The 9,099-nt window shown below is 44.4% G+C and overlaps 1 annotated feature.

The window, feature by feature from the left end:
- Positions 1,008–2,004: an enhancer, noted in NCBI's record as "OCT4-NANOG-H3K27ac-H3K4me1 hESC enhancer chr5:153486570-153487566 (GRCh37/hg19 assembly coordinates)". NCBI's record gives its function as "activates a minimal SCP1, AML or CMV promoter by ChIP-STARR-seq in naive H9 embryonic stem cells {active_cell/tissue: H9 hESC(naive)}" and the evidence as "EXISTENCE:reporter gene assay evidence [ECO:0000049][PMID:30033119]".

A 9,099-nucleotide genomic window follows, 5' to 3' on the forward strand; every position in this document is an offset into this window, starting at 1 on the left:
GAGGTCTTCAGGCAAGAATAATGTCTGCTACCTGCTACACCATTTCAGGGGATGGATCTGGACAACTGAAGTCTCACTTGCTGTGGGGCGTGGGTGTACTGTACCTCAAGACATTAAGTGATGGACATAGGACACAAGCTTGGAGGGGGGCAAGCTAAAGCTAACTTCCTCTGAGAATGCAGAGAGTGATGAGGAGGGTCTCAGAGGGAGCATGGGGCTTGTCAACAGATAGAGAGTAATAACTATATGGTAGCCCAGGGTAGTCTTTGAAGGGAAAAAGATATGTTTATAAAGAATTTGATGTAAGTTGCTGTGCACAGCATGGTATAAGCCATCTCTGTCTCCTCAGTAAAATCTTCTTAAGGTCATGTACTACACTTGAGGGGGGTTGGGAGCAGAGAGAGTTGATCAAATACAAAATCCTGCTTTGGAGCTGATTCAGACTGAACAAAGCAGTGGCACATGGAGGCAGCCAACATCTGAGTAACACATGCATATTCTCTTTTTTATTTTATTTTTTTCAGAGACAGGATCTTGCTCTCTTGCCCAGGCTGGAGTGCAGAGGCACAATCATAGCTCACTATAACCTTGAATTCCTGGGCTCAAGTGGTCTTCCCACCTCAGACTCCCAAGTAGCTGGGATTACAGGCATGCCACCATGCCCAGCTAATTTTTAAATATTTTTTAGAGATTGGGTCTCATTATGTTGCCCAGGCTGGTCTTGAACTCCTGACCTCAAGTGATCCTCCCACCTCAACCTCCCATAGTGCTATGATTACAGGTGTGAGTCACCATGTCCAGCCTGCATATTTTCTAATTCTCACTATTGTAGCTTCTCTATATTAGTTAGCTGTGGCCACAATACTGCATAACAAACTACCCCCAAAACGGAGTGGCTTACGATAAAAAGCATTTCATTTTCTAGCTCATGGGTCTGCAGGCTAGTTTGGGAAGGGCTCAGGTTCAAGCCATAGGTTATCTCCAAGCTGATGATTGGGTTCTAGTCATCACATCTTCCATGTGTGTCCTCTTTCTCCTTAGACCAGACACTGTAAAGTACTTGCTCTTTCAATGGTGGATCATAGGATGTTAAGAACCAAACCAAACCTTGGAAGCACACTACAGCCTCTGCTCATACCAAGTTGATAACATTCCATTGGCCCAAGCAAGTCACATGGCCAAGTTCAACATCTATTGAATGAGAAAATCTACTTCTGTGCACATGTATGCACTGCATAATCACATGGAAGATAGAGGGTTTGAAGAATTGTGAACAATTCCATCTGCTACAGCCCCATTTTACCCTCTGGGGAAAGCCACAGCTTAAAACAATCAAGTTGTTGTTTGAAGTCACAAGCCTTGTATATAATGCACCTAGGTTTGGGACCAGCTTTGATGACAAAGCTTGTATGTTTAGTATGCTGAACTCCTCCGCTAGAATGCAAGATGAACCAAGCCCCTCAGGGAGCTCACTCAGCAGTGTGCAAAGTACCCAAGTAAACCAGAGATCACCTCTCTGCTCAAGGTCACGCCACTGGTTGGTGACAGCACAGACCCTAGAACCTTGTTCTTCCTGTTCCTTATACCATTCTCCCCGGATAGAACCATGTGCATTTGGCTTTAAAACATCACTCACAGTAATTTCTCCTCTCTGAGGAATTTCAATCAGGCCAGAGGTTTCCGAAACAAGCCCAGGACACCCAGAGGTGAAAAATAGTTCCGTTTTCACTTCCTTGAAATTTCTCCTAAATGTGCCTACCCTGCCAATAGTATCTGCAAAAGGAAGGAGGTGAAGTTCACACCATTCAACTCCTTGGCTGTTGCCATGGAGCCCATCCAGCCATCAACATGCCAGCAACTCTGACTGCCTTAGCAATGGAATCAAAGAAGGGGAAAATAATCAGCAGGGGAGCAAACTCTTGTTTAAATGCAAATACCTTTGAGAGGAAGCAATTGAGGGAAAAGAAATTACGAAAACCCCGGTAAAGAACATGGAGTCGGGGCCAAAGCTGATAAGCCATGCCATTTCCCCAGCAGGATAGTCCCTGTTCCATCTCCTGCCAAAGTGGGAAACGTGTTTTCAGAAGCGATTTGCCAACGTTACACATCCTAGTCACCCCTAACAAGGTTCTTAGAATGGAGCGGAGAGGAGTTCCTGATGGGCAGAGAGCTTGTCAGAGCCGGGAAATGCTGACAGGAGGGCTGGGCTGGTTTGCACTAGAATTTAAAGTGATGGAAATGAAGGTTGAGAATTGGGCCCCAATGGGAGATTTAGAAAGACATATCAGGCTCCCCAAAGGAGTTCCCCAGCCCAGTGATGCTCAGCTCTTTCTAATAAGAATGATAGTGTAGGCCGGGCACGGTGGCTTATGCCTGTAATCCTAGCACTTTGGGAGGCCGACGTGGGCGGATCATGAGGTCAGGAGATCGAGACCATCCTGGCTAACACGGTGAATCCCCGTCTCTACTAAAAATATAAAAAGTTAGTTGGGCATGGTGGCGGGCACCTGTAGTCCCAGCTACTCAGGAGGCTGAGGCAGGAGAATGACATGAGCCCAGGAGGCAGAGGTTGCAGTGAGCCAAGATCGCGCCACTGCACTCCAGCCTGGGCAACAGCGCGAGACTCCATCTCAAAAAAAAAAAAGAATGATAGTGTATTTTCATTTGCTAATCTTGTTTTGTTAAAAATAAACAACCACCCATTTTTAGCTTAAAGTGTGCTAAAGCTCAAGTGTTTAAATGCAAAGGAGATTATATGTTATAATTATATTGTATTGAGGATTATTTTGTCCTGTATCCTTTTATGATGCTTTGCAACTAAAAGACATTTTGTGATTCTAACTCGGAAAGTGGGCAAAGCTGGCAGGCTTGGGGCGAGAAGAACTGCTGAGACAGTTCTGGTGCCTGGAAGCTGTGAATTGCCACCCCCTTTCACCCCCACAACACTCTGTCCTGAGCCACTGTTGAGCTGCAGGTGTTACATGTAGGCACATAGGCTGAGGGTCTGTGGATGACCTCAAACTACTGTTATCTGCAAGTACTGTAGGAAAATATGTGGAAAAGAGGTGAGGAGAGCTGTGTCTCCAGTCCCTGAATTCCCACGAGGCTTCTAGACAGTTCCAGGCAGCTTAGCATCAAGGCTGTGATCTTCCAGAAGGATTCTTGTAGCTTAGCAAAAAGAGCACCAGACTGGGAGTCCAAAGACCTGTGTTAAAATCCTGGCTCTAATATAATCCAACCATGTAACATTGGGGAAGTCATCTCACGTCTCTTAGCCTTGACCTCAATTTCCATATCTGTAAAATGGAGTTGTTGAGAGAGCTAAATTAGACAATCAGGGTTTTTCCTACCACTCATTGAGCACTTATTAAAGGTTACAAACTGGCAAACTGCAGGCCACATCCTGGCCACAGCTGTGTTTTAATTTGTCCTGCATAGTATTAAAAAAAAATACAAGCCAATGTATAAAATTCAGGAAATTTCACATACAAATCCAGGTTTCCTGTGAAAAAAAAATCAGACCTGGCAACACTGGGACCTACGACGTTATAGTCACTGGAGTAAGCCACCCTATTTGGAGGGAATATACACTCTACTTGGCTACAATCCCTACCACTCCCTATTTCCCTAACCAAGGGTCAGTTGCATGTTTATCAGAAAAATATGTTTTCTCTTACAGTAGATAGAAATTTCCTGGAAAACACTACATATTTAATCCTCCTAACAACTCTAAGCAATATGCAGTTAACTCTCATTAGAATAGCAATAGGCCATCCTAATTCCCATTTTACAGACAAGGAAACTTACACATACTTCACATTGATCGGTACTTGTTCAAGGCCACACAGCTAGTAAGTGGTAGAGACCAGATGTGATCCCAGGCTGCCTGCCTGAAAGCCTGTGCTTATAAAGTACTTTGCTATTCTGCTGGTCTGTGAAAGGCACCATTAAACACATTATTTAATTCAGATCACGACAGGAGATTTAGGGAGACACTAGCCCACCTGGGGTTGCTTTTTCCATATCTCACTTGTTCCTGGAGATAAGTGAGCTGCAGAAGGATCAAAGCCAGGAATAAACAAGAGCAAAGAAAATGAGAGCCAAAAGGGCTACAAAAAGATGATTTAGTTGAATGTCTTCATTTTAAGAAGGAGAGACTTGGAAAGGTTAAATGACTTGCCCATGATCACATATTTCTTAGAAATATCAACGCAAGTTCTACATTTAGGAAGAGGAAGTGAAGTGAATTAGCTAGTCAGGTATAGTCTAGGCTCACAATCAAACTGAGCTTGCAATTGTGTAGATTTTGCATATAAAGAGGTTTTTGAGGGAGCCAGAATTACCTGGGGAATTGCCTCCATTTCATTTTCTTCTATATCCTATCAGAAAAAATGGTCCCCAAAATCTTAGCAAGGGGGTAGTGTAGCCATTTCATAGTTTCCTTTTAAAAACATGGAATGTCAGGGGAACAAATATCATCTGAGATCATCTAGGCCAATCTTCATTTTACAGGTGAGAAAACCAAGGCCCAGAGGTGAGGGGATGTGTCCAAGGTTGGCTCACTAGTGGGTGCAGAGCCAGACAGGAGGCACTTCCCGTCTCAGCCTCAGCCTCTATCTCCACCGGCATGGCTAAGTGCTGCTGTCAGCTTCTCACCCGCTGGGCTTCAGTCTCTTCCTGGGAAGCATTTTAATGATATTGTTTGGAGGCTCTGCACCTCATTCCTCAGGGGTTCAGGGATGGGGGGACAGCTAGCCTAAAAAATGCTCACAGCTGGATTAATAAGAGAAGTGACGCCTCTGAGTTCCTGCACTTCAACAGAAGGTCAGGGAACACAGCTGTTTCTCTCTCTGCTTCCCAGATGCTCCCAGCGAGGCGAAGATGCTCCCTGGTTTCCTGCAGGAAGGAAAGGAAGATGTTCCTTGCTTTCCATGCATGCTTCATGTTTATTGTGTGAGTCAGATGCCTCTTCCTCCAACCAGTCTTTCCTGACTCCCCACAGGATCAGAACTCCCTCCTCTGAGCCTGACTCCCACAATACTCTCAGCAGACAAACTCTGATAGCACACTGATGGACTAGCTATTGCTGATCTCCCTGACTGTATTAGAAGCTGCTCAAAGGCATGGATCCAATCTGATTCATCTCTCCTCCCCACGTCTCAGCAACAGCACACCTTGCACACAGTCATAAACTAATTGCTACCATTTATTCAAAGATTGTCATAGACCAGGTTCAGGGCCAAGCACTTTGCATACTTTATCTCAGTAAGTTCTTCTGCCACCCTGCAAGGAAGGAATTATTGTACCCATTTTATGGATGAGAACACTGAAAGTTAACTTGTTCACGGACTTTATCGCAGAATTAGGAAATTCAGGCAGGGCACAGTGGCTTATGCCTGGCTCATGCCCAGCGTGTTGGGAGTCCAAGGTGGGAGGATCGCTTGAGCACAGGAGTTTGAGACCAGCCTGGGCAACATAGGGAGACCCCATGTCTAAAAAAAAATTAAAAATTAGCCAGTCATGGTGGCATGCACCTGCAGTCACAGCTACTTGGGAGACTGAGGTGGGAGGATTACCTGAGGCTGGAAGGTCAAGGCTGCAGTGAGCCATGGTTGTATAACTGCACTCCAGCTTGGATGACAGAACAAGATATTGTCTCAGAAAAAAAAATAAAGTAAAATAAATTCAAAACTTTCCATTATGTGTTCCTTCCCCACCCTTCTCACTCACTCTCCGCTTTTCTTCAAAGCCCTCAATATTTTCAGCTTCCTTCTGCCTTGGGGCCTTTCCCTGAGCAGTTTCCCTGGTAGCATCACATGCCCTTCTTCACCCAGTTAATTATGGTTTCAGATCTTCAGCTCTTGGCTCAAAAGGATTTCCCCAAGGCAGACTCTCCCAACCCCTAAACCATGTCATACCCTCTTGTAATCAGCTCTCACAGCTTCCCTAGTTTCTCCTTCATGGCATTTACCACAGTCCGTAATTCCATGTTTTGTGGGATTATGTGATTACCATATGTCTCCTCCATCAGTACAAGCTCCATGAGGCCAGGCCCCTTGTCTGTTTTGCTTATTATTTTGTCCCCAGTGCCGAGCACAGCACCCAACATATAATAGATGCCTAAAAAACATTTATCGAATGAGTATCTGACTTCAAACACATGCACTAACTAGCATGTGGTGAATAATTCTGAATAAGTGGTTGCTAATAAATGATTATATCAATGAAAGCATGGATGGAGGAGGTGATCAACCACAAGATTTCAGTTGGGAAAGATCAACTGCTTGGCACCTGGAAAATGTGGAGGCCCAACAAGCTGCTGGTTCACTTTCCAACAAAGCAGGCTTCCAGTTTGGGGAAAAAAAAGAAAACAATTTGGTTTCTCACTTTCACTTTTCAATAGCTATTGGGAGTCCTTGGCTTGAACAGCCCTCAAATGCAAATGAAAGAACAGGTGTGCTTATATCAGAACTGAGTAATCAGGGCATCTCTGTTACTTCTTCCTGAGAGCTTTGCACTCTGCCTCCTGAAGGAGCTACTTGATCAGCCAGGCCCTTGAAATGATGTGGGCAACCATTTCTTTTTTTTTTCAAATTGGGTTTTTAAACTTCTACTTAAAGGAAGATTGAAAGTGGGAGGGTATGACCTGGGGTAACTGGCAAGACAATACCAAGGTTTCAAAGACATTCTGGATGAAAGGCCCAGAGGCCATGTGATGGAAAGGAAGAGAAAGGGAGAGGAAGGGGGTGACATGCTGTAAGCCTCTCTGGTCTTCTCAGGAGGCACACTCCCTTTTCCCTGGGGATGGAAAGACATGAGCACATGCAGTTAAAAAAAAAATGTGGCTGGGTAGAACTCCAAGCCTAAAGCTTCTCTGTAGAATCATATAAAGTGGAGATTGGAAGGCACCTTTGGGTTGGATCATCTGGTCCAGCTTTTCATTTTATATCTATCCAAAGCCCAGAGAGGTGAGGGATCACCCTAGGTCACACTGAGACTCAATGCAGAGTCCACCCTGAAACCCCAGGCTCCCGATTCCCACCCCAGGGCTCTGTTCATTACATCAATATTCCTTACTTAGTAGATAGTCCAGTGTGATGGGCAGAATAATGATCCCCCAAAGCCATCCATGGTCTACTAATAATTCCCATCACTTGTGAATATGTTACCTTATGTGGCAAAAAGGACTTTGCAGATATGATTAAGGATCTTGAGATGGGGAGATTGTCCTGGATTGTCTGGGATAGTCCCAATATAATCACAACATTCAGATAACAGGAAGATAGAGGTGTCAGAATAAGAGAAGATGTGATGACAGAAGCAGAGGTTGGAGTGATGCAGGAGGCCTCCAGAATCTAGAATAGACAAGGAAAGAGATTTTTCCCCTAGAACTTCCAGAAGGGTTGTAGCCCTGCTGTCCCATTTTAGACTTCTGACCTCCAGAGGTGTAGGATGACACATTTGTGTTGTTTTAAGCTACAGAGTGTGCAGTAATTTGTTACAGCGGCAATCAGAAACTAACACAGTCAGTGATACCATTCAGCCCACATGCTAAGGATGCAAATCTCTCAGAAGACTCAGGGAATCCCACCCATACCTGAGTGACAGTACATCCTAGTGATTATGAGCATGCTCTGTGGAAATAACCCCAACATTCATCCATGGGAGAATAGATACATATTTCATAGTGATTTCACACAATGTGAAATACCACATGATAGCGCAAAAGAACAAACTTCTAATACATGCAATGACATGGAAGAATCTCATAGACACACCACTGGAGAGAAAGAAATGAGATGCAAGAAATTATGTACCAAATGATTCCATCTACATCAAAATCCAAGCACAGGAAAAATGAATCTATGCTGATAAAAATTAGAATGGTGGTTACCTCTGGAGGAAGAGTGTCACAGGGGAGGGTGATGAAGGAGCCAGCTGGACTTAAAATGTTCTATAACTTGATTTGGTTACAAGAATGTATATATGTAAAAATTTATTGAGCTGTACACTTAGGATTCATTCACTTTACATAAGTTATACTATAATTAAAAAGTTTTAAACCATTAAAAAATCAAAATAGAAAAATAAATTCATCTGATGAGCACAGGCTCTGGAATCAGACTCTCTGAGTTTAATCTTGGCTCCATCATCTCCTACCTGCATGACCTTAGCAAGTTGTTGAACCTATGAGACTGTGTTTCTGTGTAATTGGGATATTACGAGCTTCCACCTCATAGGGTTGTTGGGAGTTAGCAGATATGAAGTGCTGGCAACTGTTGCTGTTACATAGTGAGTGCTTCGTAAATGCTGGTCATTCTTACTCAGGGTATAAATGGTATACATTATTACTCAGGTGTAAATGTGATGGTGTGCTGGAGCCAGCCTGCACCAGCTGCTCAGATCTCACTGTGCACATCTCTTTCAACTCCTCCATCACAGACATTACATTGGCAGCTTAAAATTGGCCAGGGTGGGAATGTTTACACCACAACAATTGGCAATAGCTATAAATCAGTGCCTTTTGTATTTGCTTGGAAAGCCAGTTGTTAAACACTTATCAGCACATCATTGTATAAGTGGCTAAACTTAGGAAAGGGGAGAGAAGATGGGGGACCTGGAGAGAGGAAAGCAGAATCTGCCACCTTCTCTCCACTCCTCAGTGGAAGGTGCTGCTACAGCCCAGCCCCTGGAAACTTGCTTATGGGCCTCTTGACAACATCAGTGTCCCCTAGTCTTTCCTCCCCATTCTTTAACCACTTATTAATGCCAACCCAATCTCTAGGACACCATCTCCCCTCAATATGTTCCTTATGAGAGGCCTGGACAATCTTCTCACCCATCTCCTAGCATCAGAGACCCCTTGAACGAGTCCCTTCCCCTGCCAGGCCCTCCCCAGAGAGCTGGCCCAGAGTCTGGCTCCCTGTTTCTACTCGCTCTCTGTTCTTTCTCTGCCTGGAGCCAGCCGCTCTTAGATCCTCTTTGGACCAGCTGTTTCACATGGTTAGTGTCTTAGCTTAAATATCACCTACGCAGAGGAGCCCTTTTTGACCACCCTCAACCAGTCTCAATCACACTATTCATCACTGACGGAAAGTC

This window comes from Homo sapiens, chromosome 5, assembly GCF_000001405.40.
Source record: "Homo sapiens chromosome 5, GRCh38.p14 Primary Assembly".
Lineage (NCBI taxonomy): Eukaryota > Metazoa > Chordata > Mammalia > Primates > Hominidae > Homo > Homo sapiens.